At 36.9% G+C, this 21,083-nt stretch overlaps 1 protein-coding gene across 12 annotated transcripts in view; it reads left to right on the top strand.

Moving 5' to 3' along the window:
* Positions 1–21,083, top strand: part of RBMS3 (RNA binding motif single stranded interacting protein 3) — a 729,325-nt gene that overhangs the window by 142,493 nt on the left and 565,749 nt on the right. For 8 of the 12 annotated variants that reach the window (XM_005265061.3, XM_017006180.2, NM_001003793.3 and 5 more), the window contains exon 2: positions 11,180–11,352. In XM_005265061.3, the coding sequence (XP_005265118.1) occupies positions 11,180–11,352 (173 nt within the window). The remainder of the gene's footprint in view (positions 1–11,179; positions 11,353–21,083) is intronic. The other 4 variants (XM_017006179.2, XM_017006181.2, NM_001003792.3 and 1 more) reach the window with 1 other exon arrangement.

A 21,083-nucleotide genomic window follows, 5' to 3' on the forward strand; every position in this document is an offset into this window, starting at 1 on the left:
TTTCATCAGCACATAGTATGGGAGATTATATGTTGTAGCTATAAGAATGATATATATTAGCATTGTCCAGTAGAACTTTCTGTGATGATGAGAATGTTCTGTGTCTACCTGTCAGATACAGCAGTCAGTACCCACGTATGTTTTTCAGCATTTGAAATGTAACTAGCGCAACTGAAGAAATACATTTTTAAATTTAAGTTAATTTTAATTAATTACCTGTGAATTTAAATAGCTGCATGCTGCTAATGACTGTCAGATTGGACTGTACATATTTATATTTAAACCTGGAGTTAACGGAGGTGAAGACTGCTTAGCTTCAGGTCCTGGGTATGATGCTGAGCAGCTGAACAACCTTGAAAAGTCGTTTAACCTCCCTAAGTCTCAGTATTCTCTTCTTCAACATAGAGATAATAATAGTTCTTACCTCTAAGAGTTCTGAGATCAGGAAATAAATCAATGAGCATAAAGCTCTTAGAATTGTGCCTGGAATATAATGTATGCTCAATAAACTTTAGCCATTGCTATTCTTATTTTATAATCTTTTGTAGATATTGATGAAGTAGAAACTGAAAAAGTATGGAAATGAAATAGCTCTAAAGTAATAAAAGGAAAATGTCCTGAATGGGTATAATTTTAGGTGATCCTTGAGGAATATGTGGGATTTGGATAAATAGAAAGTAATTACAGGGTGACCATACACCCTGATTTGCTTCAGACAATCTCAATTATTCCTTGTGTCCTGGTTTAATTACTAACATCCCCCTCTTTTGCTCTCAAATTTTCCCGGTTTGTAAGATAAATATTAAGTCACTGTAGAATTAGATATAGGAGTACAGCCCAGGCGTTTCAGATGCAGGGAAGATAACATATTAAGGTATAGATGCAGATGTGACTATGGTGTGGTTTGAATGGTGAGTACTGGGAAGTAGAAGGAAACAGGGATACGTGTAGGCTGGACACATTATGGAGTTGGGATGAGAACTGGTATAAGGAAATTAGATTGGATTGTATATGCTATTTGCACTATTGTTGAATTGCTCCTGTGTCAACATAGATTCACTTTCAGAAAAGCAAAGTTCCCATTTAATTGGACAAAAATATTTGGTGTATCAAAAAAACCTGATACTATTTTGTGTTCTGATTGTATTTCCATTACTGACAGTAATTTTCGTTATACGTAATTGGGAACAAAGTGTGTTATTTCTATCATCCCTTTGCTACAAGTAACCAAATCAGTAATATGATTGGTTAATATGGAAACTAGTCAATTAAAATGGAAAATGCCTCATTATTATCTGAAGCCATGACTTTCACAACTGGAGGAAACTTTGCAAGAGTTCATTTAGTTGCAATAAAGTATTATCACTGAATATTTTATGTTGCTCTTTAAGCTACATCCATTGTAGCTTATCACTGCATATTTTATGTAGCTCTTTAAGCTACATCCATTGGTCTTCATTCTACTTAGGAGGGTGTACATTTTAAAAAAGCTAGGGGAGGCCAAGCGCGGTGTCTCATGCCTGTAATCCCAGCACTTTGGGAGGCCGAGGTGGGCGGATCACAAGGTCAGGAGATCGAGACCATCCTGGCTAACACAGTGAAACACTGTCTCCACTAAAAAATACCAAAAAAAAAAAACCCCCCAAAAAAAACAAAAAAAAAAAAACAGGCGTGGTGTCACCCGCCTGTAGTCCCAGCTAGTTGGGAGGCTGAGTCAGGAGAATCGCTTGAACCCAGGAGGCAGAGGTTGCAGTGAGCCGAGATTGTGCCATTGCACTCCAGCCTGGGCGACAGAGTGAGATTCCGTCTCAAAAAAAGCTAGGGGAATTTTAATTGTTGGCAATATTACTAATTGTAATTTTAGGGAAATAGAGTATTAGACTGTAGGAAAAACCCCGTCTCTACTAAAAATACAAAAAAAAAAATTAGCCGGGTGTGGTGGACTGCACCTATAATCCCAGCTACTCCGGAGGCTGAGACAGGGGAATTGCTTGAACCAAGGTGGTGGAGGTTGCAGTGAGCCAAGATCATGTCACTGCACTCCAGCCTGGGTGACAGAGCAAGACTCTGTCTCACAAAATAAAAAAATAAATAAAAAATAGAGATTATGGGGAAAAACTGAACTAAAATATTAGGCAAATATATCTTTCTTATTAAGTGTAAGAATGTTACTCTAAGCATAATTGTTGTACATTTCTGAAGACCTCTTTATCTCTGATTGCATTTGACATTGACATGGTTGGCTAGCCCAGAAATCTCCATAAAGAGTTTCTGGTGACCTGTTCTGGGTTTTCCCTCATTGCCTACTTATTCTAGCTCATCGTGAAAGCAGGCATTTGGGTTGATCTCTGAGGTATTCCTTGGACAAACACAGCAGATATTCCATTATGGTCACTTTCAGTATTTCTGGAGAATGCTCTGATTCTAACAATTATTGTTCATATTGTAGCTAACACTGTAATCTCCAGCTGGGGAACACATCATGGCTCATTATTCCACAAGGAACCAATCATTATCAATATTGGAGTCCTAGCATTTTGGGTTATTTTCAAGGTATACACTTGACTTTTTAAACTAATTCCATAAGCACTGCAATGTCTGAAGTATATGTTAATTTTGTTTGTTTGTATTTAAAGAGATAAAAAATTAGTCAAATTAAAAGAAGAATTGGGCAAAGACCAGATGTCACTGCCATTTGAAAAACTGATAATCTTTATAAAACTCCATTGATGTCATTTATAGCACCACTTTTTGCTAGCTTATAAATTTATTAATCAAATTTGTTTATAGGTGCTTGAACTGAACAATAACTAGTTTATTTGTGTTTCCAAGTACCATGAATTTTAAAATGTCATTTAATATCTAAGCCTCTGAATAGAATTCAATGACTTTAAATTAAACCTATTTGTAAATAGCACAGAGCAATGTGTGATTATGCAATCTGCTGAGGTTTTCAAAAACTAACATTTAGAGCAAAAGTGAATCTCATTCTAACAGAATTTTAATAAAAACTCAGTAGTGATTTGTAAATGCTTTGAAACCAATTAGCCATCCCATCCACAATGATTGTTTCATCACAGCTTAGTTCTTAATGAAAATGGCAAACCACGGTTCTAATGACATAATTTCATTTCAAGAATAGTGGCTTTCATGTTTAAAAAATAATTGGCTCTTTAGCACCCCCTTCAAGGTGAATTACTCCAACTAGAACTGAGAAGGCAACGCTCATATTGTGGGTCTGCCTTGTGATGATGATAATGACAATGGTAATGATGAGAAAACAAAGAATTACTGAATATTGGCTCTGTGCCAGGCCCTGTGCTAAACATTTGACACATAATTTATACATTTTAGCTTCACAACACTCCAATGAAGTGAAATAATCATAATTCCTCTTTCACTCATGACAAGAGGTTTAAGTGCCTAGTTAGTGGTGGAGCTGGATTCATAGTGGGTAATCTGGAGCTCTTAAGCACCATGTTACCACTGTTGACAGCAGCTATTACCTAGGCCAGTTGATAGAGAATATTCAAATGATTGCCTTTCATGAGGAGTTTTGTCTTTTATTGCTTATTTCCATATCTAGCTTTGGGTAGGAAAAGAGAAGTAGGACAGATTTTCACCAAACTGTTACAAAAGACATAATTGAAACAATTGTTTACTATGCTTGTATTCTAGATAATGGAGAGGCAATTGCCTAGCATAAAATTGCAAAGCCATAATGTATGTGGTTCATGAAACCATGGCTGTAATTGCATGGCTTGCCTTAGATATTAATTTAGCTGCATTTGTTATTACTTGCACAGAGAGTATTCATATTCACCCTCATTTAAGGCTATTATAGACACACTAGTGACTACCACAGTTCTTATCGTGTCCACTCTCTCACGTTGTGTTCACACTAGAGGAGAGGTCTGAAGAATAAAGGTTATGTGGAAATTACACTATCAAGGAGATGAATCCAACAGCCTGCAGCAGTGTTATCCAGCGAGCAATGGATTACATGTGTACGTGCAAGCTAAATAATGTATGATTTAAGACAATAAGGTAGTATGTATTCATTTTTGGATAGTAAAAGAGATGGCATGTCAGTCCCTTGGGAGATTTTATCCAGGGCTTTACCCTTGAGTGGATAAAAAGAGTACAAATTCTATTGCATAGGAGGTGAATAAAAACAAACTGGGGAGACCATCAGCAGAACAGACTGCTGTGTGATGGAGTCCAGAGCTACTCCAAAACCACCAGACCAACTGCCTCAGGATCCTGCCAGCAACCAGATGCCGGCAATAGAACTGACTGCAGTTTGGCATCAGGGCTCTGTGATTTCCAGCCAAGGGGAATTGCATGCAAAAAATATTTAAAATTCTCTTTGTAAAGAATTATGTTTTCAATCAGAAGGAGAAGTATGTTTCAGACTTAGTCTGCTGCAAATGAAATGTGGCATACTGACATCTTGGTTACAGATGGTGGAACTGCGTATGTTGGAGGGGGTGAATGCCATGCGAAGTTGAACTTTGGTTTGGTGGTAAGGTTTTGTTTACGGTTTTTTTAGGCCATTGAGTTAGTATCATTCTGTGAGGGGTACTGTACTGGCCTTTCAAGAAGATGGTCTGGATCTACTTAAAATAGTGATTCTCAACTGGAAGAGATTTCCCAACCCTACAGGGGGACATTTGGCAGTATCTGGAGATATTTTTGGTTGTCACAACTTTGGGAGAGGGCAGTGCAACTAGCATCTAGTAGGGAGAGGACAGGAATGCTATAAACTATGCTACCATGCACAGGACAGCTCCCTAAAACAGAGAATTATCTTGTCCAAAATGTGAGTGGTGCCAAAGTATGGAACTAAGGTTTAAAATTATCTGGCTCATATATATTCACTACAACCCCGCCTGCAGACAAGTGTTCATCAAATATAGTTTGATAGTGTATAAAAAAATTGTTAAATAATTTGCTTTACTCTATTGATGTGTGAGCAACATTTATTGAATGTCCCAAATGCTTTCTGTTAAAAAAAAAAAAAAAGAAGAAAACACAACTAACCTTTCTCCAAACCTACATACCCAAACCACAGATTTTACAAATGTAGGAGGACCCAGTTGATTCACTTTTCAAACTTGAAAAATGAGGTATATGAACAAAGCACACTAAATGAATCAGCTGTTTAGGAAGATCTACAAGCCAGTTCATTTTCCTGTTATTAAATAACAAACCATGAATCTTGACAAATGAACCCACTTGTTTGACAGTATTTGAAAAACTCATAACATGCTTGGTTCTGATGGTCACTTCCCCTTTGAAATTACATTTTAAGATGGACTTCATTTAAATTCTGATAGAGAAAAAGAGCCTTTTAACCTTCATTTTGACTGTCTGCTGTTTATCATCATCATTCTTTCCCTCCTGCTGATACTTAGATGCTCCAGAGCTTTTGCCAGAGCATCATCCTCCAGTGTTTACTTCAAGGAAGTGTTTATGTTTATTGGTGTCCATATAATTAAGAGCTAAAGTTCTGCAGTGTTGTGGGAGACTGCGTGGCTTCTGGAGTCAGAGTCCCTGGCCTCAAGTTGGGCTCCAGCTGTGTGACCTTGAGAAGGTCATTTACCCTTTTTGTGCCTCAGTTTCCTCATTTGTAAAATGAGAAGAATATTATTTGCCTCATTGTGCTGTTGTGAAGATAGCATATAAAATGCTTAGCAAGCACAAACGGATGCTACCTATAATTATTAGGATTACTATTTTAGGAATAGCATGTTTCACAATGGATGCCAATTCATCTTATTTCATTTCCTAAAGAGGACATTGGCACTGATCCTCTGAGATAGCATCCCTAATGTGTGGCTGAAGGGCTTTAGACCCTATTCCATAATCCCTAACAGAACCTTCCAGCAAAGCTACAATGACTAAACATCTAAGAAAAATCTGCATACTAACCAAGCATATGCAGCTGCAAGAGAAATCCTCTATCTCTCTTCTTCAATCAGAGTGTCATCCAAAATCCCCTTCTGAATGTGCCATTTCCACCGCTTCTAAGCTGACACTGCAAATTCATAGCAACCCCTTGCCCTGTTATAGCACAGTGTTACAGTGTTCAGTAACCCCAGACCGTAAGTACTCTCTCCTCCTAAATAGGATTTATAAAGTGTGACTTTGAGCAATGTAGCAAAGTCAATTTTATCTGCAGGAAAATATTTTTCTTTACTAACATTTTAAAATCCCTTCCTCAGTGCTCCAAAATGATTTAAAAGCTAATCAATGATAAAATCCCAAATCCCTCTAAAGACAAAGAATTGAGAAAGGAAGCAGAGCCACTTTAATCAGTAAAGGGGCTGCTGTGACCCATTAACCCCTAGAGATTATTGACACTTCTTTTATTTATTTATTTATTTATTTATTTATTTTTTAAGATTCTGTAGTTTGGTCATATGTCTTTGGCAGCAAGAACATACAAAATCGCTTTTGCTTTTCACAAATTAATTCATTTAGGCCTGTGCATTTGTCAGGCATTCCGGGAACTTTCTGCCAACATTTTGTTGATTAAAGGATGTGTATTTGGAATATGGGTGGAGAGGAAGGAATTTATAATTCTTAAAACCAAAGAATGATTTATAATGCTGACCGCTACCTGAATCAATCAGTGCATCATCAACAGATAAATGAAATACTAAAGATAAGGAAGAGTTCCTACACTGGGTGTTAAAATCTGTGGATTGATTGGTTCAATAACACCGAGAAAATCGACCGCTTTCAGCAGAATTTCTAGAATTTACGAACAAGGATATGACAAAGAAAACCGCCTTTTTGTATTTTGTTCAGAAAGCTTCTGAAATACATTCTTTCTTCACAAGTCTGGTGCTTCCACTCCTAATTATAAATTACATATCTCACTTCAGTGCACACAAGTTCCTGATCCTCATCCCAACTTCGGTTGGCTTTTGACTATTTTGTTAATTTTTTTCCCTGTGAATTTGTTGGGCCTTTTGGAGGACACGTTTATTGCTTTAGGCATCATGCAATTTACTAAATGGTGTTCTGGTTATGGAAATGCTTACAAAGAGCCCTAGGGGGGAAAAGAATTAAGTAAACACATATTGATCATCCTGTAGCTGGTGCTTTCTTATTTGATTAGTCAAGGACTCAGTCTGAACTGGTCCTTCTAATCTGTGATACATAAAGCTGGAGACATTTTTCTGGCTCCCTGGTGGTTTTAAAGGCTAAACAAAGTCTCATTTTTGAAAAAGCCTGAATGCAGAATGGAATTCAAAGAATTTGGAGAGAGGGGAGGTGAAAGTGGTAGCAAACAGCTTTAAAAAGGCCCTGGGAATTTTAAGAGAGTAAGGCATATAAGGGAAGTAAAGAGAAATCTCATCTGACCCATTATGAGATACACCAGGAAGCCACCTCGGCAAGCATGTACTGAACACCTACTGTGTGCAGGACTTGTAAAAGAGGTAGAGCTTAAGTTTTGTGAGGATTCCAAGAAGCTAAACAGAATACTTTATGTCAGGAAATAAGTCATAGTTTTTGATGCTAGCTAAGAAACTTGAGCTTTCTGTAGATATTAAATTTCAAAAGGCAATGAATATATTCTATTTAATCCAAATACCAGGAAAAGAAGGTTTTATCCTGTATAATTCATTTTAAAATTCATTTTAAAATTCTATGTGAAAAATGTTGATACTAAAGCAATACTAAAGAATAGTTGAGAAAAATGTTTCTTTCTTTCTTTTTCCTTTTCTTTTTTTTTTTTGACAGAGTCTCACTCTGTCGCCTGGCTGGAGTACAGTGGCGCAATCTCGGCTCACTGCAACCTCTGACTCTCGGGTTCAAGTGATTCTTCTGCCTCAGCCTCCTGAGTAGCTGGGATTATAGGCACATACCACCATGCCCAGCTAATTTTTGTATTTTTAGTAGAGATGGGGTTTCACTATGTTGGCCAGGATGGTCTTGATCTCCCGACCTTGTGATCCGCCCTCCTCAGCCTCCCAAACTGCTGGGACTACAGGCGTGAGCCACCGCGCCCAGCCAAAAAACGTTTATTTCAAAGAAGAAATCTGGAGGCTCTGGGTTTTGCTCCTGTCATGTCTATTCTTTCACTTGTGCATTTCTCAACTGTTGGTCAATGTGTGTTTGCGTTGCACAATTTTCTTTCTTTGTTATTTTTACTTTTTATTTTTTCTGAGACTGGGTCTTGCTCTGTTGCCCAGGCTAGAGTGCAGTGGCGCCATCATGGCTCACTGCAGCCTCAGCCTCTAGGGTTCAAGTGAACCTCCCACCTCGGCCTCCTGGATAGCAGAGACCACAGGCACATGGTACCACACCCAGCTAATTTTTGTGTATTTTTTATAGAGATGGGGTTTTGCCATGTTGTCCAGACTGGTCTCGAGCTCCTGGGCTCAAGCAGTCCACCCATCTCAGCCTCCCAAAGTGCTAGGATTACAGGCGTGAACCATAGTGCCCAGTCTGGACAATTTTCTTATTCCCAACCTACCCTGCCTTCCCAAAAATAAGGGGCATAAAAGGTGAAACATGATAGAAAGCTTGAAGCTCGCTGCATATGAGATGGTACAGTCTCTGGCTGAGGGAAACAATGGGAATTCAGAGAAAAGGAGGTTTCCAGGAGGCTGTTTGAGATTTTGGTGGCTGACTGTATTCTGAGATTTAGAATTAAGAAGCAGATAAAGCTAACACCAAGTTTTCTAGCATGGAGACTGGCAGAACAACAGCAACATTGAAAGATATGGGGTAATTGTATTGGGTGGCTGGTGTGGGGAATTGGGAATGAGAGAATAGGTGCAATGGGTTGCATGTGATATACTGAATCTAAAGCACATTGTCTTATAGACAGTGGGAAATAGGGACTGACCAAATTTAAAATCCTGGAAGGTGTAAAACAGATTACTATTGCAAGAAATGAAGCTGGGTACTGCTAAAACTTGGCCTTCTTTCTCTAAATGCTAAGTGCTGTCTTTATTCCATTTTTTATTATATATATAGTAACCTAAATATTTCTCAAGCACCTACTGTATATCAGGCACTAGGCTACATACATGACATACTCATGTATGGTTTGACACATTCCCTGCTCTCAGGAAACACAGATTACTGTTAGAGGCAGGCATTAAATAAGCCAAAAATAATTAAATAAGACCCAATACACTGAAAGCTGTGAAGGAAAATACCAGAGTGTTGTAGGATGATACTTAATTTGAAATCAGAAGGATGGATTAGAGCCAGCCGAGTAGAGTGGGGCTGAGAATGGGAAGGGTGAAAAGTTGGGAGTACCACAGTGTCTGGTCTAAGAAGTGATTGGAGAAAAAGTCTGATAAAAAATCATGTGGAGCTTTCAGGACTTTGTAATAAGTTTGGTGGGAAGCCACTGCAGGATTCTACATACAAAGTTTAGCTGTCTGTGATTAAGGCCACAGTCAGTTCTATTTCCAGGACATCTCATTATTTACCCAGACCCACTAGGCCTGTCAATTTGGTCAGCAGCAGAAGTTTTGGGATGAAAAGACATACTATTTTCATGTTGAATATGTTTCTTGAGGTTTTTTTTTTTAGAATGAAACTGTAGAGACACAAAGTACATTTTTTTCCCTCAGATTATATTATTCCTTACCTTTATGCCATGGCACAAAATGTATTATAGTTTGACCTCATCTGAATACTTACTTGCTAATGTGCCAAAAATGTGCTGTTTGACAAAGACATACCTCCCAAATCTGATAAAATAGCTAAAGACTCTTCATCTTCAGATGAGAACCCAGCCCAAAGTTTCCCCACTGGAATCTTGATGAATGTGCTTATTTTGTTTTTGGGTAGCATTTGGGGTCACAACTGAGAAAATCTGGGACAGTTATATAGGTTGATATTACTACAAGACAGATACAAACCATGAATATTCATATTATTGTTATTTTTGCTAATATTGTACACTTATTAATTTCTAGGAACCATTTTGTTTGCATTAACTCAACTTTTTGAAAAAATCTTCTAACTTAAGAGAGTACCGTTATTATCTCCTTCGTATTAATGAGAATGCTGCTTCTCAGAGAGGTTAAGGCACCACTTAAAGGTCACATAGCCAGTAAGAGGCACAGCAGGGACTCAACCCTAGACAGTCAGTGTTAGTTGAGAACTTTTGAAGATATGCCTGTATAAAAAAAGAAGCATAATTAGTAAATATATATCTATGAATTCTGGTATGTATAATTTTAAAAACCCTCACATTGTTTATTGCAATTTTCTGGGAGTCATTTTATCATTTTAATTTTGCCATATAATAATGTAATGAATTAAAACAGCGGTTCTCCCAGGGGGAGATTCCTACCAGCACCAGGGAGCATTTGGCAATGTCTGGGAATATTTTTTGGTGATCACATCTGGGGAATGGGCATTACTAGAATCTGGGAGATAGAGGCTAAGGATGCTACTAAACATCCTACAGTGAACAAGGACAGTGCCCACAACAAATAATTATCCTGTCCAGATGGTTTATAGTGCCTAGGTTGGGATCCTGGATTAGAGTAATTTAAAGAGGATCTTGAAGGTAAGGAAAGAATGGTAGCTCCATCTTGCAAACAAGGAACATTCAATGTAAAGAAACGATTTTGGGAATATGAGAAAGAGCTAAGATGGTTTCATTCATTCAGTCATTCATAGAATCACTATTTATAGGAATGATTTCTTTGTATCAGGAATTATGCTGAACAGTAATGTTGAGGAAAACAATAGGAGGGAGTTTCTTTGGAGAAAAGGAGGGAACAAGGTAATAGAGGGAAACCAAAGATGCTTGGGTATTAAAGGTAAGCTAGGGTCAGAGTTTATTGCCAAAAGTGACTGTTTTATTTTATTAGGGAAGAAGATATGCTACTTTACCAATCTAAGGAGAGTCACTATAGTCAGAGACAAGTTCAAATGCCATATGCTACTGCCAGGAGCACCTGATAACTGTTTTTTGTCCCTTTTATGGCTGACTTATGCTGATCTGAATGGAGGGCCAGGGCGGGGGACGATATTCTTGAATGCAACAGAGAGTAGTGATATAAATGTGTGTGTGTATGTACGTGTGTGTATTGGAGAAGACGCATAGCTTACATTGATTTCAAGTTGTGCTGCTGGCCTGTGAATAGGTGCTGGCTTTTGTTTTTCCAGTAACAGCTTTTTCTGTTTCCAGCAGTCCTATGCACCAGCTCCCCACCCCATGGCTCCTCCCAGCCCCAGCACAAACAGCAGCAGCAACAACAGCAGCAACAACAGCAGCGGGGAACAGTTGAGTAAAACCAACCTGTACATTCGAGGCCTCCCACCAGGCACCACTGACCAGGACCTAATCAAGCTGTGCCAACCGTAAGTGTCCTTCTGCTGCCCGTGCTGTTTCTCACTCCCATACTTGCCTTGGTGGGCAGGATGTGTTATTTCAGTCAATGTACTCATCCACTGGTGTCTCAGTGAGGAAGACTCTTCTTTACAAACAGGACTTAAATTTGAGATTCAATGCTAGTTTATTTTGGGGAGTGGAATTGGTTTACTTTTTGTTGTTGAGTGGAAGTTCTTGAGCACATATACATGGAAATGCTGGCTGATTCATAGATATATGACCTGCAAGATGAAGATCAAGTAATAGAGTTACACTCTCAAACCATGTGGCCAGTGGAGTCATTGATGAGTCTCATGAAATAAACGATTTTCTTGAGAAGTATTAGTGAAAGGAATCTCAAAAACTCAGAAGCGGTGGATTTCAGGATTACCTCTTGTGTTACAAAGCTTTTCTGGCCAGTGCTTGGTAAATGTCCGTTCAGCCAGGACCATGTATTTGGAGAAGCATAAGACTAATCCTCTAGTTTCTTTGAAAACATCTGCTGCCTAGTCCAGTGAAGCTATCTCCCACCAAGGCCAAGGACCACACTCACTAAGTAGTTTTATATTTGCTTGGAAGCTTGGAAATGATTAAATCCTCTTCAAAAATGTTTTCATGAATCTACTATCTACCAACACTTATGTCATTAATTCTCTTATTTCTGTGCAAATAAAAACATATTTAAGTTCACCTTCCCATAAAATTAATAATGAATTAAGAATCATAGACCTGGCCGGGCACAGTGGCTCACGCCTGTAGATCCCAGCACTTTGGGAGGCTGAGGCAGGCGGATCACAAGGTCAGGAGATCGAGACCTGACTAACACGGTCTGGCTAACACGGTGAAACCCCATCCTGGCTAACACGGTGAAACCCCATCTCTACTGAAAATACAAAAAAATTAGACGGGCATGGTGGCGGGCGCCTGTAGTCCGAGCTACTCAGGAGGCTGAGGCAGGAGAATGGCGTGAACCAGGAGGCGGAGTTTGCAGTGAGCCGAGATCACGCCACTGCACTCCAGCTTGGGCAACAGAGCGAGACTCCGTCTCAAAAAAAAAAAAGAAGACGAATCGTAGACCTGTATTTTTTGGTTAGTATCTGATTATTTTCAAAATAATATTAGAACATATATTTGTCATTTGATTGTGACTTAGCTGTGTATTTTTAAATTTTAAAAAACTATTACTCAATTGTTATTTTTCTCTTTTGCAATGCTTTTTAAAAAGCCATGAGGATATTTATTTTGTAAATGTTCTGACCTCTAAAATATTGAAAGAGGAAAACAAAGCAGAAAATATTTATTTGCCTTTGTCCTAGATTTTAAGATTGGGAATACATATCAACACAACAGAAAGTGGCAGATAAACCAAAATACAAATACATAACTGTCTAATTGTTTGACAAAACAGTAGGTACATTAGGGTTGGAGTCCCCTGTTGCTACTGAGTGCCTTGATTTGTGAAAAAGGCAAGGCGGAACCTTGAAAGATAAATATATATATTTTTAAATTTGTTCAAAAAATGTTAAATGTGCCAAAGCTCAGACATACAAATATACGTTAGATTTTGGCCCATAGAATATTGAGGTTGAGAATCAGAAGATAAATAACTCAACTTTTTCTTTTGTTGTTTAAAAAATCTAAACTCTATTTTGAAAAGCAAGGTCTTTGAAAATGTGAAACATTGTAGACTTTATGATAGAAGGTTCAGGTGAAGTAAAAAGAAAAATAGCTATTGTTCTTAATTTATATTTGAAACTCATTTATTTTTAAGGGTAGCTATTAGGGAAAGGTTCTTTCTTACTGGTCTTTACCACTTGTAGAGCCTGTTGACACACAGATGTCTGGGCCCAAGGAATTATGATTCACTAGGTCTGGGGTAGAGCCCAAGAATATGTATTTCAAACAGGATCTTTAGTGTTGTTGATCTTTTGTGAAGCACTTCTCTCAACAGTCTTGAAGAACACCAACTATTTCTATTGTATAAAGTTTCACTAATTGATGAGGGTAGTTGAGATGGAATTTTGAGTGTTAAAACCTGTTCAACCACTGTGTAATCTTGAGGCATATCACTTCCTCCCTCTAAGCCTCAGTTTCCTCTTTCTTAAAAGACTGGGTTGGTTTTTATTATTTCTGTGTTTACTTGTAGTATCAGCAGTGTGCTGGAGCTGGCTCTGACTAACACACTTGAGCCAATTGTTACATATTCAAGAATTTTGTTAGCAATCTGTTACAGACTTGGTAGCATGAAATTGGCCCTTGTGGGAGTATTTATAACACAGGAATCAGCACATCCTGCAAATCAGAGCTTTTTAAAATTTTATTTTATTGAAAAGCTGCTGTATGAACACACCACTGATGTAGCATCATACTATGAATTGCTGTGTCAATATCCATTTCTGCATAGAATTGCCAGAATTTTGTAAATGGAAATTATTACTTAAAAGCCTATATTGCCATTTTTAACTCAGAGATGTGGTAACACAGAAACATTGTTGAGGGAATAAGTTTTGTTAATGTTTTTTATGTGCATTTGATAAAGAATATTAAGTGAACAGAGGATAATAGTTACTTGTTCATATTAATATTTGTCAGCTAATAAGATCTGGCCCATTTATTGTTATTGTAAAAGTGTTTGTGGGTTCTCCTGTTACAGCAGTGATCTAGAACTGGGATTTATTGCTTAGATTATTTTTCCTAGAGAATCTTAAAGAACTGATGTGATTGGGCAACATAATGTAGTGGAAATAACTGTGCACTAAGAGATCTGTCTTTCAATCTTGGCTATGCTATCAACTGAGTCTTTGGCCTTAGAGTAATGACTTTTTGCCTCTTAACGTTGGTTTCCCCCATATACAAAATAATGGATTTGAACTCAACAATCTTTTATGTTTTCTTCATTCTAAAATTTTGATATTTGATTGAAGACCTCATTATTTATCTGCCAGACTTACTCAAGATTACCTTTTGTATCTTTCTCCAATCCCCTCGTGCAGTGTTGGCAGGGGCACAGTCAGAATTTATTCAGCTTCATGGGTATGACCTGATGGCTGAAAAAACCTTTGGTAAGAGACCAATGCAGGTCATTTGTAAAACCTTGCTTGTTTCTCTCTCTCTCTCTCTCTCTCTCTCTCTCTCTCGTAGTGTTGGCCTCTCACAGTGCTTGTTACCATTTTACATTAACAGTCTTCTAAAGATTAAAATCACTTTCCATTCCTGTACCTCATCTCACACTTTAAAATAATTTCACTCACACAACAGATAATTTTAGTAGATTTAAATGAACTTGCCATCAAGATTCATTTTCCATATTTATTTCTATGAAATTATAAGCACTTTTAGAGTTAATATTCCTTATAGGAAATGCAATATTTGCTAATATCCATTGTAATAAAATAATAGAAAACAGATACACAAAACAGCATATTGTCTTTTTTTAAAAAGGCATAGACATATTGGATTTTCTGGTATTAGTATATTATATCCATGTTAATGCTAATGAACGGTAAGAAAATTGTATTAAAGAAAAAGAAATTGCATTATTTCTAAATATATAATCTGAGAGCAAATTCTTATTGAGGAATTCTATTCACATTCATCATCAAAACTTCTATGTTCAGATCACAAGTAAAATCAAAGAAAAGAAGATAAGACTGAAGAACAATAAATATAAAGAATGATTTTACTCTATGGAAAAATCTAGTTGTACCTATGTTTTGGATGAATACATTATACTGTGCGTAGCGTAGAAAATAGTATAGTTAAAAACCTTGTAATGTCTTTTTCTTGAGACACCTTAAGGAACTTTATTTTGTTCTCAATCAAGAAATATTTACAGATTATATCCTGCATGCCTGTGGTGAGGAGTCAGTGGTGAGTAAATTTAGATAAAGGAGAAATATTATATTCTACTAGGGAAAATGGGCATCAATTAAATATATGATCTGATAAAAAATTGCAACTGTAAGTGCAAAAGAGAGAGGAGCATGATACTAACAGATTTTTTAGCACAAGATTAGACCTAGTTAGGGCGATTAGCAAAGGTATCTCTGAGGAAGTGACAATTGAGCTAAGATTAGAAGGATAAATAGATTTAACTAATCTAGAAAAAAGTGGAAGAGCAGCCAGGTAAAGGAAACATTGTGTGCAGAGCCAAGGGCTGGAGGGGGCATGCCAAGGACAAAGGGCTAAGAAAAAGCCACGTGACTATAGCAGAGAGAAAGAGGTAAAGTGTGGGGCAAAATGAGCTAGAAAACACGAAAGGACAAGATGATTCCTTTGGAGATGATGTTAGAAGCTTGATTTATCTTAAGAACAATGGAGGAAATCATTGAATTGTCATAAACAGGAAGTTCGCATAGCTATATTTTTGTTTCAAATAGGTAACTCCAGCTGCAGAGTACGGAGAAGTGATCCTCTGAGATCAAGGAACAATTAGAGTAGGAATAGTTGAAAAGCTGAAAGAAGAATGCTTTTTGTTCAGAGAAGAGGGTGTGAGAAGTAATATTAGTGGTGGTAGAAAAATTATGTGTGGTGAAAGATTTTGTCATATGCATTCTTTTTTCCGTTAAAAAGCAGGGACATGGGAACAATTAACCAAATGAACTTCAAAAGAAACAGCAAAGTAGCACAGAATAGAACCCAAATGAGTTGATTTTTAGTTAATCTCTTTTTATTTATTTATTTATTTTTATTATTATTATACTTTAAGTTTTAGGGTACATGTGCACAATGTGCAGGTTAGTTACACATGCATACATGTGCCATGCTGGTGTGCTGCACCCATTAACTCGTCATTTAGCATTAGGTATATCTCCTAATGCTATCCCTCCCCCCTTTTTCTTACCCAGTCTTGAACGGGTCATCAATATACTGTTAAACAATTAAATGGCTGTAATATTAAAAGCACTAAAGGCAATGTAATAAAAACTAGGAATCCAACTGATTATACAGATTTACTCATGGATGGATGATCAGTTGAAGACTACTGACAGAACACTTGGATCATATATATCCTTTATGCTTATCTCAGGAAGACCAGACGGAAGTCGGAGAAGATAGATTTGGTTTAAGAAAGAGAGAGAGAGCATTGTAACTTTTTTGAGCCAGATAAAATATTTGTAGTGTAATGATTTTTTACATATAAGTTATATTTTGTCCTTCCAAGAAATTGGTAACTTCTATTTTATGATTCTGAATATGCCCTGGAAACACATTTAAATTGTTCCTAAAAAATAAAATCAAACGTGCATCATAATGGGTAGCATTTACAATGGAAAAAAATCATTATTGTATTTATATTTTCCACATCTACAACATATTTTATCTAACCATTTTGTGGCTTATAAATTTGATTTAATACAATGTTCTCAGGAAGCCCCAGCCAATTGCCCCCACTTTCCTGTGATTGACTGCTATGGAGTTAATTAAAATATTGTGAAGGAACAGAGTGCATTGTTTTTCTATTATAAAGTAAACATGCCGCTGCTAAGGCCACTTGAAACAGAATGCAGGAAAATAGAGGGAAACTCTTGGGTAGGTACATACATATTTCCAGTCCTTACCAGAAGAGCAGGAAAGTCAACTGCCCTGCCCCCACACTTTTCTCCGTAAATGTTTTCTTTGCTCAAGTCATGACACCCTAGCATTTCCCCCTTTAAAATGAAACTCTGAATGTCACTTTAACATTTAAAAAGAGAGGGGAAACACCCACAATGAAAAGCCAGAGGAACGAAATAGAAGTGTTTGCGCTGGAGAGCCGAAGGGTCTGCCCAAGCTAATCTCCCGGACTTTTACACAACCCTGTTGGATGTCTCATTATAGTGCGTGCTGAACGCTGAATAGTAAGAGCCAGACTCAAGTGCCATCCAGGCTCCGAGCGCAGAGTCCATTATACATGGTGTCAGACAGTTTTGACAAATGCACCGACACAATCAAACCTTTTATCAGTTTAAAAGTAACCTTGTCACAATAATCTGTCAGACTGTTCAGATACAACTAAAGGAAAACAAGTCATCATGCACTCCAGGGTAAACAAGTAAATAAGAAAAATGTGACTGGAAATTTTTAGAGTTCTTTCTTACTGTGTCATTGAAGATTTAAAAGTTTCCTCTAATAAGACCCTAGGAAATTTATTAGTAGCTGTCTTCTGCAAGTCAGACTCAAATTACGCAGCTGCTTTTGAGATGTCATAAATCTATGTGGTGGCAGGTGTGAGCAGGAAGTGAATACTGGAATCTTTAAACCCTGCCTTTGTGTATTTTAAATGAGAGAGTGCTTTAAAGACCCAAAACACGATGTTGGAATTCCTTGATTCAGCAGAGATTTGACAATGGGTTACGTATATTCATTCAGATTTGGGCAAAATTATGTTTGCCAAGCATCTGCTGTAAACTAGACATAGTATTTGATTAGTACTAAATAATTGTCATTAATAATAGGTTGTTATATTTATATATTTACATTAACACAGTTATTGTATATTACATGCCTCATACTCTACTAAGTTTTTAAATTATTTAATGTTCAAAACTTCCCTATGAAGTGGGAATAATACTTTCTTTAAACTGATACTCAAAAGGGTTAAGAAACTTGTTCAAATTTATGCAGCCACCATAGCCACCAGGATTCAAAATCTGGATCTGACTTCAAAGCCGATATTCGTAATCACTGAAACATTCATATAATGAGAATAAGGGTGGCATAAATCATAGGTTCTCAGTTCCATGACTACTCGTGAGAATCCCTTAGGGACCTTCAGAAAATAGGTTTGGACCTCAAGTGTTCTGATTTAACCAGTATGGGTCAACCTGGATTTTGGGATTTTTTAAAGCCTGCTCAGATAATTCTAGTATGTAGCAAAGATTGAGAACTTTTAGACTTAATGATGCTCACACAAATCGGAAAACATAATTTAATCCCCTGTTTTAGCTCTCTTACTCTGACTTTCATAGGCTCTAGCAATTTCATGGGACCTACCACTGTGCTTTCAATTATCCAGAAGTATTAAAAATGAATATTATTGTGAAAATTTGGGGATGAATTTGATTTTCTGATAACAAACTGACATTTTAGATTAGGCACATGGATAATAAAGCCCTGGAATATGCCTCTAGAAGTGTTTTCAAGGATGTCCTTGGAAGAATCTTACTTTCCTGCTTTATATAATTTCCAAAAGTCAAACATTTATTCAACATTCTACTTTTTAATAATGTTTGCATTTAATTGATGATTAAGCAAGAAACTCTTCCTATTTTGACTCATATGATTAAATTTCTATATATACTTACATTTTTTTGCCGACTATAGTTTAGTGAACAAAAGTCCAGTGAGTCTTAAAAAATAATTTACATCTCCTAGTGTTTTGGGGGCATCCTAGAAATTATTGTCCCACTGATTCATTGATCACTCATTTATTATTGTTTTTATTACTTTGAAGAATTTTCTGCTGAATGTTTACATATCTCATGATCAATTTAAAAATATACTTAAATTCCTGATAGCCGATGATATTTTTCCATATCTATCTTTGGAACAGAGAAGAGAAAAATAAAAATAAAAAAATCATTGAGAGGACCAATTGACTTAGTTTACGATCTTGATGGTAGCACAAAAAAGATGGAGATGTAAAAAGATGTGATCAACTCTTTCTGGATGTGCTGAGTAAACATCTGGAGCTCAGAGAGGTGGAATTCTAGGCAGATCTCATGCTGAATGCCTGAAAATTTGAGGGACTTGAGTTTTAAGGGCGGGACTCTGGCAAGTTCAGATGGCATCCTGGTTTTCTATTTGTCCAGTGATTTTTTAATTGATAAATACAGCTGACCCTTTTTAGTCCTTATTTTAATTAAGCTCTCTGTTACTTGACCCTGTTGACCCCTCCTTTCTTCTCCTATGGATGGTAAATTCCTTTTGCCTGGATTTCCTCTTACCTTTTGGAGATTATTCTTTCTACTTTCTCTTCTTCTACCTGTCTCTTGAATATTTTGGAGTTTTCTGGAGATTGGACCCCTCTTTTCACTCTATAAACTGTCTGCTCTTTATTACACAAACAACATCAGCTATTCTAATGACTAATAATTCTATATTGTCCACCATCAACTATTTGTTTAGTTCTGGATCCATATCTCATTATTCCCTAGACAATTCCAGTTTTGTAACCCAAGAGCTATCAAATTCATTGTCCAAAGAGGGTTATTCTTGGACTTATCCCTTCTTTAAGGGATCCCACTATTCTCTATGTGAATAGTGGTCCAAATAAAAAATCTTGGGGTAACTCTTTTCCCCAGTCTAGAATCAATTTCCAAGACCTCAACTGTTTGATATTTATGATACCCAATAGCTCGTCTGCTTCAGTACTGCCATGGTCTTTTTACTCATTTATTCAAACGTACTTATTGATTGTCATCTGTGTACCAAGCACTGCAGATATCTTAAGGATTGGTAAGTTTTTCCATATAATTTGCATTCTAATGGATAAAAATGATATATGAATAAATAATTAAAAAACATTAGAATATGTAAATGTCATGAAAAGCAGGTTGTAAGTAATGACTAGGAGGTTACTCTAGACTATGTGTTCTCTTTAATGTGAGACTTCATTTGCAGGAAGGAGTCAGGCAGATAATATTCAGAAATAATGCATTACAGACATATGTAAGAATTTGGCCAAAGCTTGAAGAAAGAAATGAGCTTGTTGTATACAAGGAACGTAAGAAAGGTTATGTATTCTTCTGCAAAGAATAGATTTTAGAGGAGTACAAGAGAAGAAGCAAGAAGACGAGCAAGGAGGCTTTTGTGGAAGTACAGGAAGGAGGTGGTGATGGCTTGGAATAAGATCACAATGGTAGAGGAGGTTAAGTGGGATGAATTTGGAATATATTTTGGAGATAGTTTTGATAGCATTTACTCATGAATGGCATATGACAAAAGGGTTAAGAGAAAGAGAAATTAGGGATAACGCCTTAACTCTTAGCTTGAGCATCTTGAGGGATGACTCCTTAACTCTTAGCTGGAGCGAATATGGAGCCATTTCAGAAAATGAAAAGGATTGTGGAAAGTGCAACTTTGGGTGGACAGAAATCAAGAGCTCTTCTTAGTCTTGTTATTTTTGAGACTGTATTATACATCTAAAATGAGCTTTGCATTGGGAGTTTAATATCTGATTCTAGTTTTCAAAGTGAAAAAGTAAAGGATATAAAATGGGAGCCATAAGCATTATAAATGGCTTTTAAATCCATATTGATGAGACAATAGTGTGGTATCTAATATGTACTACAGACTGTTCTAAGTATTTTGCACGTGAGTACTTCATATTACATATGTTAACTCATTTAGATGTCATGCCAATTCCCATTTTATAGGTGAAAAACCAATGACATGAAGAAGTTAAGTGACTTTCCCAAGGTCACACAGCTGGTAATTAGCAAATCCAGGCTTTAAATTAATAAGTTTTGTTTAAGAGCCCCATCTCTTAACCATGATCCATACATAGGGAGTGTGTATAACAATAAAAGAAAATGTTCACACAACTTGAATTCTGAGGTTCTAAGAGAATGAGAAACCAAGAAAGAAGTTTATAAAGGAACAATCAGTATGGTAAAGGACAACCAGGAGTGCAGGAGTGTGCTATACCACAGCAGCTGAAAGAAGAAAGTATTTAAAGAAAACAGAATGATGAAATGTGTTGAATACTTGCTGAGAAGTCAAGAAATATAGGGAGAGA

This window comes from Homo sapiens, chromosome 3, assembly GCF_000001405.40.
Source record: "Homo sapiens chromosome 3, GRCh38.p14 Primary Assembly".
Lineage (NCBI taxonomy): Eukaryota > Metazoa > Chordata > Mammalia > Primates > Hominidae > Homo > Homo sapiens.